Source organism: Homo sapiens, chromosome 17, assembly GCF_000001405.40.
Source record: "Homo sapiens chromosome 17, GRCh38.p14 Primary Assembly".
In the NCBI taxonomy this organism is placed as follows: domain Eukaryota; kingdom Metazoa; phylum Chordata; class Mammalia; order Primates; family Hominidae; genus Homo; species Homo sapiens.
This window is the reverse complement of record NC_000017.11, coordinates 45,991,589-46,008,504: the sequence shown is the minus strand read 5'-3', so window position 1 is coordinate 46,008,504 and position 16,916 is coordinate 45,991,589. Positions and strand designations below refer to the sequence as shown.

The 16,916-nt window shown below is 50.8% G+C and overlaps 2 protein-coding genes across 30 annotated transcripts in view, besides 1 other annotated feature; both read right to left on the bottom strand.

The window, feature by feature from the left end:
- Positions 1 to 16,916, bottom strand: part of MAPT (microtubule associated protein tau) — a 133,781-nt gene that overhangs the window by 19,830 nt on the left and 97,035 nt on the right. For 27 of the 29 annotated variants that reach the window (NM_001377268.1, XM_005257362.5, XM_005257365.5 and 24 more), the window contains one exon: positions 11,841 to 12,106. In NM_001377268.1, coding sequence (NP_001364197.1) covers positions 11,841 to 12,106 — 266 coding nt within the window. Of the gene's footprint in view, positions 1 to 11,840; positions 12,107 to 14,527; positions 14,582 to 16,916 lie in introns of all 29 variants that reach the window. The other 2 variants (NM_001123066.4, NR_165166.1) reach the window with 2 other exon arrangements.
- On the bottom strand, positions 8,811 to 9,255 carry STH (saitohin). The gene has a single exon (NM_001007532.3). The coding sequence runs from the start codon at positions 9,223 to 9,225 to the stop codon at positions 8,839 to 8,841; it is 387 nt and encodes a 128-aa protein (NP_001007533.1). The 5' UTR covers positions 9,226 to 9,255; the 3' UTR covers positions 8,811 to 8,838.
- Positions 15,307 to 15,868: an enhancer, noted in NCBI's record as "H3K4me1 hESC enhancer chr17:44070003-44070564 (GRCh37/hg19 assembly coordinates)". NCBI's record gives its function as "activates a minimal SCP1, AML or CMV promoter by ChIP-STARR-seq in naive H9 embryonic stem cells {active_cell/tissue: H9 hESC(naive)}" and the evidence as "EXISTENCE:reporter gene assay evidence [ECO:0000049][PMID:30033119]".

The following is a 16,916-nucleotide window of genomic DNA, read 5'->3' as shown; positions in this document are numbered from 1 at the left end:
TTTGTTGTATTTCCTTGAAGTCTCATTTATATATAACTACCCCTGTATACCTATACTTGGTAGAATTATTGTGCACATGCAATTTTGTATCTTGCTCTAAGAAGTGATATCATATCCTAGGCTGGGTACAGTGGCTCCTGTAATCCTAGCACTTTGGGAGGTCAAGGCTGGTGGATCACCTGACGTCAGGAGTTCAAGAGCAGCCTGGCCAACGTGGTGAAACCCCGTCTGTACTAAAAATACAAAAGTTAGCCAGGCATGGTGGTGCGCAACCCAGCTACTCGGGAGGTTGAGGAAGGAGAATAGCTTGAACCCGGGAGATGGAGGTTGCAGTGAGCTGAGATGGCGCCACTGAACTCCAGCCTGGGTGACAGAATGAGACTTCGTCTCAAAATACAAAAAACAACAAAAGAAGTGATATCATATCCTAAGCATTGTCTATGGTCTACGGTCATCAGAAGCACTATGTTTAATACTATGTCCCATTCCATTTTGTGAATATTGTTCCCCTGCTATCCAACATTTGTATTGATTCCACTTTGTACTTCAATAATACAAACAGTCCTGCAGGAGCTGGATTTGATGCAAAGAAAAAAAAAATACAAACAGCCTCCCATGAACCTCTTTCTGAAAGGAGCTTTTTCCATATGATGGGTTATTTTCATAACACAGAGTCCTAGAATAGAATTTCTGGGTCAAAGTTATAAATATTCTAAAACCTCTCGGTACAACTCTCCACATGGCTTTCTAAAAGGGTTGCATGAGTTTTCCCTGTGAGCCCTGGTGAGAGAGCCAGCCTCACCACATTGCTGCCAGCACTGGGTGTTTACAACATTGTTTTGCTTATTTTTTTTGACCAAAATAAAAGAAACTGCATTGCTGGCTTATTCTGCATCTCTCCAATTATGACTGAAATCGCTCCTTTACCCCCTTTTTGCTGATGGGTGTATTTTTTCTAACATGCACATATTTACATTTTAATTTATTTTTATTTATTCTTTTTATTATTTTTAAAATAGAGACAAGCTCTCACTCTGTCACCCAGGCTGGAATGCAGTGGCGCCATCGTAGCTCACTGCAGCCTTAAACTCCTGGGCTCAAGCAATCCTCCTGCCTCGGTCTCCCAAGTAGCTGGAACTACCGGTATGTGCTACCACGCCCAGCTAATTTTTAAAAATTCTTTGTGATGATGGGGTCTCGCTATGTCACCCAGGCCGGTCTCAAACTCCTGGGCTCAAGTGATTCTCTCACCTCAGCCTCACAAAGCACTGGGATTACAGGCGTGAACCACGGTGTCCAGCCTACATTTTAATTTACTTATTTATTTTTGTTTTATAATTTTTTAATTTTAAATTTATATGGGTACATAGTAGGTGTATATACTTGTGGGGTACATGAGATATTTAGATACAGACATACATTGTGCAATAATCACATCACGGTGAATGGGGTATCTATCACCTCAAGCATTTATCATTTCTTGTGTTATAAACATTCCAATTATACATTTTATTTTATTTTATTTATTTTATTTTATTTTATTTTATTTTATTATTTTATTTTATTTTATTTTTATTTTTTTGAGATAGAATCTTGCCTTGTCGCCCAGGCTGGAGTGCAGTGGCGCGATCTCGGCTCACTGCAAGCTCCGCCTCCCGGGTTCACGCCATTCTCCTGCCTCAGCCTCCCGAGTAGCTGGGACTACAGGCGCCCACCACCATGCCCGGCTAATTTTTTCTTTTTTTTGTATTTGTAGTAGAGACGGGGTTTCACCATGTTAGCTAGGATGGTCTCGATCTCCTGACCTCGTGATCGGCCCGCCTCGGCCTCCCAAAGTGCTGGGATTACAGGCGTGAGCCACCATGCCCAGCTAATTTTTGTATTTTTAGTAGAGACGGGGTTTCACCATGTTAGCCAGTCCAATTACACTCTTTTAGTTGTTTTTAAATGTACTATAAATTACTGTTGGCTGTCGTCACCCTGCTGTGCTATCCAATACTAGATCTATGCATGCTAACTACGTTTTTGTACCCATTAACCATCCCTACTTTCTCCCTGCTCCCCTCCACCCTCCTCAGCCTCTGGTAACCATCCTTCTACTCTCTATCTCCATGAGTTTAATTTTTAGCTCCCACAAATGTGTGAGAACATGTGAAGTCTGTCCTTCTGTCTGGCTTATTTCACTTAACATAATGTCCTCCAGTTCCATCCATGTTGTTTCAAATGACAGATTCTCATTCTTTTTCATGGCTGAATAGTATTCCATTGTGTATATGCACCACATTTTCTTTATCCATTTGTCTGTTGATGGACACTTGGGTTGCTTCCAAATCTTGGCTATTGTGAATAGCCCTGCAATCAACACAGGAGCGCCTGACCTACATTTTTAGATACTCAAATTCTTCCTTTGTAATTCCTTCTCTGGTGTTTCAATGTACAATCCACTCCTCCTTTAGAGATGGATAAATCTCTAGTGCCACATCACCTTTCTTGCCCACCGTCCCCACGTTAAGGACAAGGAGGCCATGTGAGGCTCGCTGAGGTTCCGCAACTTTCTCAGGTCAGAAGCAGCCACAGAAGAATCTAGATCTCAGAGTTTGTAGCCACAGGCTATCTATGTGACAACAAAGTTGTCCTGGGCTGTCCTCAAGGCTACAGCCTCATAAACCTAATAAAAACAATACTACTTTTTGGTGAATGTTGAAATTCTCTCCTGCCAGCAAGGAGACACTGTGACAGTGCCTCAGCCCAGGCTGGAGCTGCGGAAGGAGGTGGGACAGGCTTTCTCACACTGCTTCTCAAGGAGTCACTGTCGCCCTCTGCACAAGTCTTTGAATCAATTCATGCCACCCTCCGATTTTAAGGAATCCCACATAAACTCCTTCTTTGCGGATTATTTTTTAAATAAAAAAAAATAGTTTTAATGGAGATAGAGTCTTGCTATGCTGCCCAGCCCAGGTCTCAAATTCCTGGGCTCAAGTGGTCCTCTGGCCTCAGCCTCTGGAGTAGCCTCAGCACCTGTAGGCTTGACGATCATTTTTTATTCATAACTTTTCAGTGGATAAGGCTTAGAAGATTTGCCTGCTTTCAGAAAGGAGTGGGAACAGCTTAGAATTAGAAAACACACACAATAATAAAGCAGGAAAATGTAAAGAGTAACATTAGAAGAAGGGAAGGGCATCAACACTGATAATTACAAGAGTGATCATTACATTTAACTTTGAGCTTCCTGGAAGCCGAGGCAAAAAGGGAAATGTCATGGGTTATTTAACTCTCCTTATCTGACAAAGAAAACTTACCAGTTTTTCAAGGAAGAGAACTTTGTTTTCTGTACTAATCCATTAAAGAAATTAAACAAATGAATCAAAGGACATTAAGCAATAATTCAGTATCTGCCACATACTTAGAAATGTTTTTTTCTGGCCGGGCACGGTGGCTCACGCCTGTAATCTCAGCACTTTGGGAGGCCGAGGCAGGCAGATGACGAGGTCAGGAGATTGAGACCATCCTGGCTAACACGGTGAAACCCCGTCTCTACTAAAAATACAAAAAAATTAGCCAGGTGTGGTGGCGGGCACCTGCAGTCCCAGCTACTTGGGAGGCTGAGACAGGAGAATAGCATGAACCCGGGAGGTGGAGCTTGCAGTGGGCGGAGATCGCACCACTGCACTCCAGCCTGGGCGACAGAGTGAAACTCTGTCTCAAAAAAACAAGCAAACAAAAAAACAAAAAAGAAATTTTTTTTCCATGTGGCTTTTTCTTGTTCTAACCCCACAAAAAAGGCAACAAGCCTTTGTGAGATTTTACAATAGACACAAGGGTATTTACAAAGCAGACCTGAACTACTGCCAATTGTCACATTAAGTCAACACCGTTTATAGAATCTTAGATTTACAGAAGGGAGAGAAAAGAGGAATGGTTGTCATTATGAAATCAGAATCCTGAAATTTAATTTCTCAGCTACAGTAACATATATATTACACTTCAGCTCTGGATAGACACTGACAAAAACCATCAAGGGAGAGAACGATGTGTTGCAAGCTCCCAATTTTGATCCAGGGAACTCCTAGTCAGGGGAGAAATGTCTGTGGTCAGAGTTTGACCCTGAAGGAGAGGCTGTGGTGAGGTGGGGCTGGGGGTGTGTGTCCACTTGGTTTAATCAATTTCCTGGAGCACCCAAAGCAGCCCTAAGCTCTCACTAGACCTTGATCTGGTTTTGTTTGGGTTCAGTTCTCTCAAGGCTGTTCCAAAGAGCCCAGCCCTCCCTCCCTGGCCCCAAGCCTGCAGCCCCACAGCCCCACAGCCCCGTCCGTGCCTCACAGTTGGCTCCCAGGCTGGCCCAGACTTGGCCTGTCTCCAGCACTGCCTGGTGCTCGCTGTGCTGTGCTTTGCCTCACCAGGCTCAGCAAGCCCAGTGCAATACTCTGCTGGGAGTTTAACCCGGGGTGGGCACTGGATGCCCACACAAGCCTCCTCTTCAAGTCCAAGGTGATCAGCTTAGGAACTGACACAGGAAAACCTGTCTATGTCCTGTTAAGTCAGCTGGCCAAAGAAGAGATCAAATAACAGGGTAGAGTCACCTTCAGAATTATTTACACTGTCCTTTAAACAGTGATGAACCCAAGCTCCTTTAAAATGATTTGATTCACACAGATTTTTCAGAAGCACTGAGGTACAGGAAAAGATGCCTGGAGGGTCTCAGAGTTACAGAGCTGTCCTAGAGGAGGGTCCCAGCCTGGCTCTGCCCCCCACTTACTGTGGGGTCTGACATCTCAGCCCAAGCTCACCTGCATCCCTGGCCCTGATTGAGGAGAGGCAAACGATTCCACGTACAAATTCACTGTATTTATTCCACATAAATGTTCTACATAGATGCTTTTTAAAGTGACAACTGGGGCTTTGCTATTAAATATAATGTATTTTTAAGGGCAGGCGTGGTGGCTCACACCTGTAATCCCAGCACTTTGGGAGACCAAGGTAGGCAGATCACCTGAGGCCAGGAGTTTGAGACCAGCTTGGCAAACATGGTGACACCCCTCCTCTACTAAAAATATAAAAATTTGCTAGGCATGGTGGTGTGTGCTTGTAATCCCAGCTACTAGGGAGGCTGAGGCAGGAGAGTTGCTTCAACCTGGGAGGCGGAGGTTGCAGTGAGCCGAGATTGCACCACTGCACTCCAGCCTGGGTGACAGAGTGAGACTCTGTCTCAAAATAAATAAATAAAATGTATTTTTAGAATACTCAGTTCTCTATAATGGTCAGTGGTGTATGAGGAGGGAGGAAAGAGGGGTAAAAGGAGAGAGAAACAGATCGGAGAGATGGGCAGAGGTGACTGGGTAGAGACAGAGCAAGGCTGGGGGAAGGTGAAGACGAGAGTGCGCCCACACACACACACACACACACACGCCCTTAAAAAGAGAAGGTCGGGCATGGTGGCTCACACCTGTAATCCCAGCAATTTGCGAGGCTGAGGCAGGAGGATCACTTGAGCCCAGGAGTTCAAGACCATCCTGGGCGACACAGTGAAACCCCATCTCTACAAAAAATATAAGAAATTAGTTGGGCACTGTGGTGCAAGCCTGTGGTCCCAACTACTCAGGAGGCTGAGGTGGAAGGATCTCTTGAGCTCAGGACTTCAAGGCTGCAGTGAGCTATGATCGCACCACTGCACTCCAGCCTGGGCAACCCAGCAAGACTCTGTCTCAAAAAAGAGAAACAAATCAATACACACAGGGAAGGAAGCAGCCACCCAGGCTGCGGCCCAGAACCAAGAAAGTTACAGCATTCTATTGCCATCTTGTGGCCATCTTGAATATTGCACCCCCCGCCCCAAGGCTTTCAAAGCCCCACTGCTCAGGTAGGTTTCTGTCCATCCTGGGCTTCCAGGCTCTGTGCTGCTTCACGTCTTCACATCCCAACTATTGGCCTGGACATCCTCCGAGAAAGTGACTTTAGCTCCATCTTCTCAGAGCCAACCAGGCCCCCCCATGCTTGGGCCCCTGGGCCCTTCCCTGGGCATGATCCTGCACACCCCCTTCTCCCCGCTGGCAGTCACAGGGTCCCCAGTTCTCCTGATCCTGCAGCCTGGGCCCCACATGAGCAACTTCTCTCTCGCCCTGCATGGACCCTGGGACTCCCTGCTTCTTCAGTTCTCCTCTATGTTTCCCAGCGACCCCCCAAGAAGGGCTGCTGAGGCTGGGCCCTCACCCCTGCTTAACCGTCCCCAGCAGATGCCGACAGCCTGCCTGCTTCAGCACTCCCACGGCCACTGCCAGCTGAACTGAGCCTCTCTTCAGGGCCACCGTCCACCACCCTCTGTCCTGTCGGGCGATGTCCAGAGGCTTGCAGCTGCCCCAACCTCTCTTCTGCCAGTGTGAACTCTCCTAGCGCTCAAGCTTCACACCCCTTAGTGCTGAACACACACCCTCTGCTGCCCCAGCTGCCTCCAGTTGTTTATTTTGCTTTTGCTCTGAAGAGCTCCACGTTGCAGTGTTCCACTATCCTCCTTCAGCTCCTGCACCCAGCACTCCGGGTGGGGGCTGTCCTTTCAAAGGCCACTGAACAGGTCCCAAACAAGGGTCTGCCTGTCTTCTCTGGCTTGCTGACTTGTGCAGGCTGCTCCCCCTGCATGTCCTTGCCTGGCCAAGCTCTCCATCCTACATTCCTCCTGCTGCTGTGACTGGCCCTGTTTCTCTGCTCACCTGCCCCTGTCCCCTGGCCTGGACCCTGGGGGCAAAAGCTCTTAGCACAGAGCCTGGTGCTCAGAAGTGCCCCATAAATGTTGTCTGAATGAATGAATAAAGGAATGAAATAAGGAAGGAACCAGCATTTTTTTTTTAATAGAGTCTCAGTCTCACTGTGTTGCCCAGGCTAGGGTGTAGTGGTATGATCATAGCTCACTGCAACCTTGAACTCCTGGTCTCAAGTGATCCTCCAGCATCGGCCTCCCAAAGTGTTGGGATTACAGGCATGCGCCACCGCGCCCAGCCAGGAGCCAGCTCTTAATGCTGTTATATGTTGTTTTACTGGTTGTGTTTTCTTCATTTTTTTTTTTAAGTTAGGAGTGCAAGGTTGTGTTTTCTGGTTTATTTCTGCTCTTATCTTTGTTTCTAGATTCTTATTTCTTTTCTTGTACTCTTTTTCCCCTCCATTAAGAACCTAATTTATATGCTGCAGTCATTTAATTTTTTAAATAACAAAAGTATTTAAAACTATGAAATCCTTCTAAGTACAATTTGGGGCACCTTAATATAACGTACAGGATTCATTTTACTTTACTTTTTTGATACAGGGTCTCGCCCAGGCTGGCGTTCAGTGGTGTGAACATGGCTCATTGCAGCCCTGACCTCCCAGGCTCAAGCAGTCCTCCCACCTCAGCCTCTAGAGTAGCTGGAACTACAGGAGAGTGCCAACAGGCCCAGCTAATTAAAAAAAAAATTGTAGAGACAGGGTCTCCCTATGTTGCCCAGGCTGGTCTTGAACTCCTGGACTCAAGTGATCCTTCTGCCTTGGCCTCCCCAGGTGTTGGGATTAGGTGTGAGCCACCACACCTGGCCCCAACAAAATGTTTTAAAAGCTGGTCCTTTGTCTCTGTGTCTGGACACACTCCCACTCCCGCAGGCCAAACAGGGCGGGGATGAGCTTGGCAAAGGGGATGTGGGAACCAGGGGCTGGCCTGGCTGGGTCTGAGCTGACTGAGGACCAGGCACTTGGAAACTGCAAATAGGGATAGAGCTGGGACTGAAAGTGGAAAATGAGCCACTGGATCAGGGTGCACAGGAGGCCGCAGTGGTTGAGGTTGAGGGTAGGTGTCAGCAGTAAGAACCCAGGGCCACTGAGTCTCAGCCAGGCTGCACACTAGAGTCACCCAGGGGAGGCCCACCTCAAGATGACAACAGGTCCAGGAGGCTCGGGCACTGGAATGATGTTTAAAAGAATTCCCTCTTCCCGCCAGGTGCTCCCTTTTACAGTCTGGAGGGAACACTGCCACCCACGACTCCCACAAGATCGGCGGGGCCTACGGGCTCTTCCTGCCTGGCACCCCACCCAGCTCCTCCTCCTTGCCTGCAATCTCTACCCCTACCCAGCTGGTGCTCCAGTGCGGCCACCTGATTATCTGCATTTTCCTTTCAAAATAATTCCATTTGGGGCCCCAAAGCAATCTATGTTCACTGTAGCAAATCCTGAAAACAGAGAAAAGCACAAAGAAGAAAACAGAGAAAAGCACAAAGGGGAAAACAGACGTTTTCCGTTTTTCCCCCAATGATTTGCAGCAATCTGCGGCAGTTTTCAGCCTCTGCAGGTTCCCAAACGTGACTTGGCTCCTGCTCTTTTCCCTTTGGTGTTAGCATCTGTTCCGGCACGGTTGAGGGATTCTTCAGACTCCGCCAGCTTTGCCTCTTTTGTAGCCAAACATTTATTGAGCACTTACTGCATACTGGGTACTACATGAGGCCACAGGGACCCAAAGGTCTCAGCAAAAGCTCGTGGAGCCTTCAGGCCAGTCCAGGAGGAGGAGGCCTGACACCCTTCAGCGGGTCATTTTAAAGGCTCTTGTGCATGGACCCTGTATGACATTTTTCTTTTTCTTTTTTCCTGGAGATTCATGTGTTGGTCTTTGTTATGGCTGAGGTTTAGTTTCAGACAATTTTTCTAGGCTTTCCTGGCATTTAAGGGAGGCTGTGACTGTGTCCTCTGCCACTTTTCCACACTTCGTCCCCCAAAATATCTCAAGAAAAGTCAAGTCACCCTTTCTCCTTTAACCCTTTAGTAGATTTGGACGTGCTGCCTCCACCCAGCATGGTGACGTCATAACCTGGGGCTCCCATCTGCCCCTTTCTACACTTGGCATGAGGTCGCCTGACTCTCACCCCTCATGGGCAGAGGCAGGGCAGCTGCAGGGTGGGAGGGACAGTTCTGGCCCTGAAAGGGGCCTTCAATGGAAAGTTGTCTTCCCTGCTCAGCCCCATTCCTGCTGCTCTCTTCAGAGCTGTAAGAACTGGGCCAAATGGTGCCCACACCTTCCAAGCCAACCTCAGATGAACTCAGGGTCAACAGGGAAGCTACTTCCCATGCTAAGCTGAGGGTTCTGTCTCTGGCAACCTGAATCATCCACTCACACAGAGGCTGAGTTAAATTAACCCCGCATTCAATGAGGGCCGGCCACCTGCACAGTCTTGTGGGGGCTGCAAAAATGCATGAGACTTGGCCTCCACCCTCACTCATGGCCCAGACTAGGGAGCAGCAGACACATGCTCAGTGTGGTCAGAGTTTACAGGGGCTTTAAGAAGAGAGAGGGGAATCCAGGAAGACTTCCTGGAGGAGATGGCAACTGAACTTGGATTTAAGGGAAGGGAAGAGATAAGGAGAGAAGGACATTCCCCACCATGGGACACAGGGCAGGGTATGGCAGAACCCAGGGGCCCCCAGAGGTGCATGGGCGGGGAACCCCAGACGGGGAGCAGCAGATTCAGGCTAGGGGGAAGGGAGCACCTTGTGGGTGCTGCTTGTTATGTGACTTGAGGAGATCCTGGATGGCAGTCTGGGTGCTGGAGCAGGATGGGGGTGCATGGGTGGGCAATGGGAGAAAAGGCAGGAAAGGCCAGTGAGGGCCCCTCTGGGGTCTTGGGCAGCACCAAGGCCAGGCACCCTGGAGAATGAAAGTCACGGTGGTCCCAAGATGGGGCTTCTGGAGGCGACTTTCGAGAACCGAATGAGGACTGGAAAGTCTGGAGACGAGGGAGCGCATTGTCCCCAGTGGAAGCGCAGGACAGTTTCCCTCAGCTGCGGTACAGGACAGAGGCCCTGGGTCACCTGTGAGTTATTTCCCCAAGGTCTCTAACCAGGCCACTGTGGTGGATGAGGGTCCAGAGAGCCTCTTCCACTACAAGCTCCACATGCCTGAGCAGGAAAAGGCCGGACCTTAATTTAACCCGGATCGTTTGCCATCAGGAGGGAGATTCTGAGATGTTCTCTTCCTTCCCTCCCTCCTGTGTTCCAGGGAGCTCTGCCCTTGTCCCCACAGCCACAGGGGAGCCACTGTCTGTCCTTTCCTCGATGAGAGGAGGTGCTCTGGGGCACAGCCGAGTCTTCTCCACCTCTGTGCACCGCCTGGCACGCAGGGACTCTCAAAAGAGGCCTGATGCACAGAGGCAGGGTCTACACATGCGTCCCTTTTAACCCGACCGTCCATTTCCATCCCGATGGGATGTGACACTGCACTCACAAGCTTGTTCGGGGGCAGGGGGGATCCTGGGTGGGGGGAGGTGGCAGGGTTTGAGGCAAGGTGCCCATGTGCACTGGTGGCCACCCTCCGTCCAAATGCCCCAGGCTCAGACCCAAGTGATAAGAACTTCAATGGTGTGGAGAGCGCCTGCGTGGGGGAGGCAAGCTGACACGCAGGCCCAGGGTTCCAGAAAGCCCCCTAGCTCCCCGAGGCCCAGTGCCCAGAAGGCCCAGCACATCTGCAGCCTCAGAGTGAGCTGTGGTCCTTCTCACCCCCAGCCTCCTCTTCACCCTTCCCCAGCTCCCCAGTGCTGGGTGGCGGGAGCGGGGTCCTGGGCTGAATTGTGGTCCCCGCAAATTCACATGTTGAAGCCCTAACCCCCCTCCCCAACACCCCCGTACCTTAGAATGTGACTCTATTTGGAGACAGGGCCTTTAGAGAGGTGACTAAGTGAAAAATGAGGTCATCAGGCTGGGCCCTAAGCCATGGTGGGTTTTTTTGGTTTGTTTTATTTTGTTTTGAGACAGAGTCTCGCTCTGTTGCTCAAACTGGAGTGCAGTGGCACTATCTCGGCTCACTGCAACCTCTGCCTCCTGGGTTCAAGCGATTCTCCTGCCTCAGCCTCCTGAGTAGCTGGGATTATAGGCGCGCACCACCACCACGCCCAGGTATTTTTGTATTTTTAGTAGAGACGAGGTTTCACCCTGTTGGTCAGGTTGGTCTCGAACTCCTGACCTCGTGATCTGCCTGCCTCAGCCTCCCAAAGTGCTGGGATTATAGGCGTGAGCCACTACGCCCAGCTGCCATGGTGTTCTTATAAGAAGATGAGCATGCGCAGAGCTACCAGGAGCACACACAGAGGGAAGACTGCAGCGGTGCAGGACAGAGGTGGCTACCCACGGCCACAGAGAGGCCTTGGAAGAAACCCACCCGCCCACACCTGGCTAGTGAGGAGGCATACTGCTGTTCTTTCACTGTGGTGCTTTGTATGTCAGCCCTAACGCACCCAGACGAGGGGCACAGGGACAGGAATGGGGAAAGGGATCCAGGCCAGGCCCCCGAAGTCTGTGCTTCTCCACCTTTAGGAAGCTGGAGAGCTCGCGAGCACCCACTTGCTCCCAGAAGAATCAGCTGATCAAAACAGAACCCCCAATCTCCCCAGAATCCAGAGGAACCCAACCTAAGCAGATGGCCCACGAGTGGAGATGCTGACCTATGGGTGGCAGTGTATTCTGCCCAGAAGGCAGGTGGGGAACCGCTGTGGGTGCCCTGACTATGAGAGCCTCCGGCCGTGGAGACACAGCCCTGCCATCTCTGTCCGATTAACAGGGGCTGAAGGGGCAAGAGAAGAGCCAGAACGTTCTCTCGCCTGAGGAGGGCACTCACAGTGTAGTGGAGAGCCCAATAAAGAACTGAACTTCCTTGAAGAGGGTCCAGAGGGGACTGGGGTGTTATGCGGGGGTGCTCAGGTGCGGGGAGCCCCACACCTCCATGCACAGTCCCACGACTCCACGCTCAACCGCGCACCTCCAGGCGCAGCCCTACCCTTCCAGGCACAGCCCTACCCCTCCAGGCGCAGCCCCCCACACCTCCACGCGCAGCCAGCCACTCTCACCTTCCCGCCTCCCGGCTGGTGCTTCAGGTTCTCAGTGGAGCCGATCTTGGACTTGACATTCTTCAGGTCTGGCATGGGCACGGGGGCTGTCTGCAGGCGGCTCTTGGCGGAAGACGGCGACTTGGGTGGAGTACGGACCACTGCCACCTTCTTGGGCTCCCGGGTGGGTGGGGTTGGAAGGGACGGGGTGCGGGAGCGGCTGCCGGGAGTGCCTGGGGAGCCGGGGCTGCTGTAGCCGCTGCGATCCCCTGATTTTGGAGGTTCACCTGGGAAGGAAGGAAGGGAGTGAAGCCAGGACTCGAGTGGGTGGGGTCAGAAAAGGCCCTGGGGGCTGCCTGTCCCGTGGGTCCATTCCCAGGCTCACCACTGGGTTAGGCAGGTGGAAGCCAGGTTGGAAGCGCAGCTACAGCAGACGGCTGCCCTGGGGAAGCATCTCTTCCTCCCTGCCTTTTTGCTTAGGGACAGAGACACCCCTTTCCCAGGAAAGCAATGGAAAACCATCAACCACCATCCAATACCCGCTCCCAGAGAGGTGGCCAACTCGGCTCCACAGTCTTTGGGTCAAGAGATGGGCTCCAACAAGCTGTGTGGCCTCAGACAAGTAACTTCCCCTCTCTGAGCTCAGAGGCCTTAATTTGAAAATGGAAATAATTATAATCCCTGCGGCCAGCGTGGCTCCAGGAGGTGGTAGATATGCTTTGCCAACCTCTAATACAATTCTTCAGGGCCTTTATCCTAAATAAGGGTGATGCAGTGACGAGACCCAGCTGTGCCCTCAAGCCTGGACGCTTCTGACCCTTTCCCCACAGGGTGAATGTTCAGCTGTTCAGCTGTTCGGCTAGTTCAGGGCTCCTGCCAGCACCCTGGCTCCTCTGTGGGATTTGGCCTTCAGAACAGGATGCCTGCTCCACGCCTGCCTGTCCCTAGCTGTCCACACGAGCCATACCGCTTCATGCTGCTGTGCCCTGACGTACAGTTCCCCACCTGCCATGCATAGCAGTTACTAGCGCACCCTTCCAACACCCTGGAAGCTGCTGGGGGGTCTCTTCTCCTCTCCATGCAGATGCTGTCCCTCCCTCCTCTGGGTGTCCTTTACCCTCAAACTTGCTTCTGTTACTGCACTTCCCAGGCCCCCGTTACACTTCAACAGTCTGGTATTCTATCTCATGGGTCTGTATTTTCCAAAGTGTGGCCCACGGAACCCTGCGTCAGAATCTCCGGAGCTTTCAAGGAGGAAAGTGGGAGTTGCAAAATGCAAATTTCTCGATCCCCTTCAAGAGTGGATAGAGCAGAATCTCTAGGGGTGGGACCTGCAAAGCCTCATTTTTCTCAAGCTCCACAAAGACTGAAGTCTGAGAACCGCAGGCCTCACCCTGTGCCGAGGTGTGCTTAGCTCCCCTGCAGTCTGAGAACTTAGCTTTCCTGCAAGTCCAGAAGCTTCCCGCAGCAATGCCCCTGCCGCTGCCCCAGGCATTTGCTGTAACACATACCTGCTGGCCAGACCTGGAGAAGGGCAGCTCTTTGAAGCACCCATGTAGCCAATGGGCAGCTTGGCCAGTGACGAATAAGCACTAGTTTTCTTTTGTTGTTGTTTTGTTTTTTTGTGGTTTTTTTTTTGAGACGGAGTCTTATTCTGATGCCCAGGCTGGAGTGCAATGGCGTGATCTCGGCTCACTGCAACCTCCGCTGCATGGGATCAAGCGAGTCTCCTGCCTCAGCCTCCCGAGTAGCTGATATTACAGGTGTGCAGCACCACGCCTGGCTAATTTTTGTATTTTTAGTAGAGACTTATTTTAGTAGAGACTGGATTTTTGTATTTTCAGTAAAGATTTCTTTAGTAGAGGTTTTACCATGTTGGCCAGGCTGGTCTTGAACTCCTGACCTCAGGTGATCCACCCGCCTCGGCCTCCCAAAGTGCTGGGATTATAGGCATGAGCCACCGCACCCAGCCAGCACCAGTTTTTAGAATTTGACTTCCATGTCTTTTTTAAAAATAATGTTTTTTATAGAGACGGGGTCTGACTATGTTGCTCAGGCTGGTCTTGAACTTCTGGCCTCAAGCGATTCTCCCACCTCAACCTCCCAAAGTGCCGGGATTATAGACGTGAGCCACCGTGCCCTGCGGATTTCCATGTCTTGGATGTTCCTGAAGTAGTACGCTCTGTGGCAATAGGACAAACGAAGCCTCTTATTTTCCACATAAGGAAACAACAGATGGGGCCTCGGCCTCCAGGGCCTCCAGGCTCAGCCTCTCTGCCTCCTCAGACCTCCCATCCTCCTGCCTCCCTGACTTCAGAGACCCAGGGTGACCAGTGGGCTTGGTGGTGGTGGCTCCAAATACTTTTCATGCCTCTTATTTACAGAGTGGTCGTGGGCAAGTCACCTGACCTCCTTAAGCCTATGTCTTCATCTGAAACATAGGGAGACAGCCAGGCATGGTGGCTCATGCCTGTAATGCCATTGTCCCTGAAGTCAAGGAGAGCACACAGGATTAGAAAGCCCATCAGACAAACACAGCTGCGCAAACTGCACAGGGAAGAGAATTCGGACTGCTCCATCTTCAGGCTGCGAACCCTGTGTGAACCCTGCATTGCAGAAAAGGGTCCTCCCGGCTCTAGAAACACAAGCCAGTGAATGGCCACACACGCAAAGGGAGGCTGCTCCCAGCGAAGTAGGCTCCCGAGTACCTCTCTCAGATCTGGGCCCTGCAGGGGGTGGTCTTCTCTGGACTTGCTTAGTCGCTTAAAGAGAAAAATCCACGAAAGCCTTATTATCATCAGGCTTAAACAGGGCCTTAATGAGTCCTTCACGTGGCAGGCACCCACAGCTGGCCCAGCAGGGGCCCCATTCTGAAACAAGGTCGAGGGGCCCAAGGGGGAGGGTCTCTCCACCTGCAGGCAGCCACCGAAGAGCAGGTAAGACCCAAAGGGAAATGCATCACGTTGTTTCAGGTTGTTACAAAGTGTGAGTCCCCTGTAATCCCAGCACTTTGGGAGGCCGAGGTGGGCGGATCACTTGAGGTCAGGAGTTCGAGACTAGGCTGGCCAAAATGGTGAAACCCTGTCTTTACTAAAAATACAAAAATTAGCAGGGCGTGGTGGCCTGTGCCTGTAGTCCCAGCTACTCAGGAGGCTGAGGCAGGAAAACTGCTTGAATTTGGGAAGCAGAGGTTGCAGTATGCCAAGATTGTGCCACTGCACTTCAGCCTGGGTGACACAGTGAGACTCCGTCTCAAAAAAACAACAACAAAAAACAGAGTGTGAGTCAACTGGCCCGATGTTAAGTGAAAAAAAAACAGCAGGATCCAAACGCTACTTAAAATCCTGTCAAAATTCTGGGAATTATCCCTGGATCACATGTATATGAGAAAAACACCAGGCCAGAAAACACGAAGCGAAAAGACAAAAACAATGGGCCTTAGTGAATGGCCATCCTTGGGGGTGCCACTGCACGGCATGTGTGCGAGAAATGCCACCGCAAAGACACGCAGCAGGTGGTGGGCAGGCTCTGGGCAGCTCCCTCAGGCCAGGGAGAAGCAGAGTCACCAAGATCCAAGATCCAGGCCAGGCTTTGGTCACAGCCCGCAGCAAGTGCCATAGGCTGCCCGTGCCACCAAGGAGCAAGTGCAGGTCAGACACCCCTACATGGTGCAGAGTCTAAACCCAGGGGCCTGGAATACTTCACTGGGGCAATGGAAGAGAGAAGTGCTCGGGCAGGCAGGCAGGCTGTCCCTAATCCCCAAAGAGGACGACTGTTTTTTTTTTTTTTTTTTTGAGAAGGAATCTCACTTTTGTCATCCAGGCTGGAGTGCAATGGTGCGATCTCAGCTCACTGCAACCTCTGCCTCCTGGGTTCAAGTGATTCTCCTTCCTCACCCTCCTGAGAAGCTGGGATTACAGGCGCCCGCCACCACGCCCAGCTAATTATTTTGTATTTTTATTAGAGACGGGGTTTTGCCATGTTGGCCAAGCTGGTCTCGAACTCCTGACCTCAGGTGATCCGCCCACCTTGGCCTCCCAAAGTGCTGGGATTACAGGCATGAGCCACCACGCCCAGCCGCGACTGTTCTTAATAGCACTCCTGGCTGCAAAATAACTCAATGGATGCCTTACTGGGTACTCAAAATTGACTGGGTTTTACTCACAGGAGCCCAGGGCAACGGGCCCAGCCTGTGACTGCTCAGCTAAGACCCTCAGGTTTTGCAGCAGACTCCTAACGTCCCTAGCAAGTTAAGCTGCCCAGGGGTTGAGCCCTGAGTGACGTCACCCATTGTGACTTATCCAGGCTGCTGCTCTGTCTCCAGAGACATTTGTCTCCAGAGTCTCATTTGGGGACTGAAAACATGCCATGCTGGGGCTGCCTCTATGGAACCCTGGACTTGGGGCCAGAGAGGCTCCGAGAGCTGCCACTTAGTAGTCATGTGACTGCATTTTCCTCGGGTTTAAAATGAGCTGGTTAGACTCAGTCAAGCAAACTCTCAGAGGCTCGATTTCTTTCTTTTTTTTCCTTTTTCTGTATTTTTTTTTATCATGCTGCAGAATCAGCCTCAATTTCTTCATTGATAAAAAGTGAGGATTCAGGCTGGGAGTGGTGGCTCATGCCTGTAATCCCAGCACTTTGGGAGGCCGAGGCAGGTGGATCACCTGAGGTCAGGCGTTCGAGACCAGCCTGGCCAACATGGTGAAACCCTGTCTCTACTAAAAATACAAAAAATTAGCCGGGCATAGTGGCAGGTGCCTGTAATCCCAGCTACTAGGGAGGCTGAGGTAGGAGAATCGCTTGAACCTGGGAGGTGGAGGATGCAGTGAGCTGAGATCACACCACTGCACTCCGGCCTGGATAACAAAAGCGAAACTCTGTCTCAAAAGAAAAAAAAAAAAAAAGGTAGGGATTCAACATTTGCCTCAGAAATCAAAAGGACTGAGAAGGCAATGAAGACTCCAGTGCTTAGTAAACTGCAAGCTGCTGACCAGCTGCCAGGGGTTATTCATTCTCAGTGGCCTAAGGCCTCCTAAAATGAAGGCTGTACCTCTGAGAGCTTCAGCTTCCTCTAAGATTCAAGAGAACGTTCTTCTT

Coding starts and splice junctions, on each gene's coding strand:
- STH (NM_001007532.3), bottom strand. CDS start 9,225: ATGAGTGAGGGTGGAGGCCAAGTCTCATGCATTTTTGCAGCCCCCACA.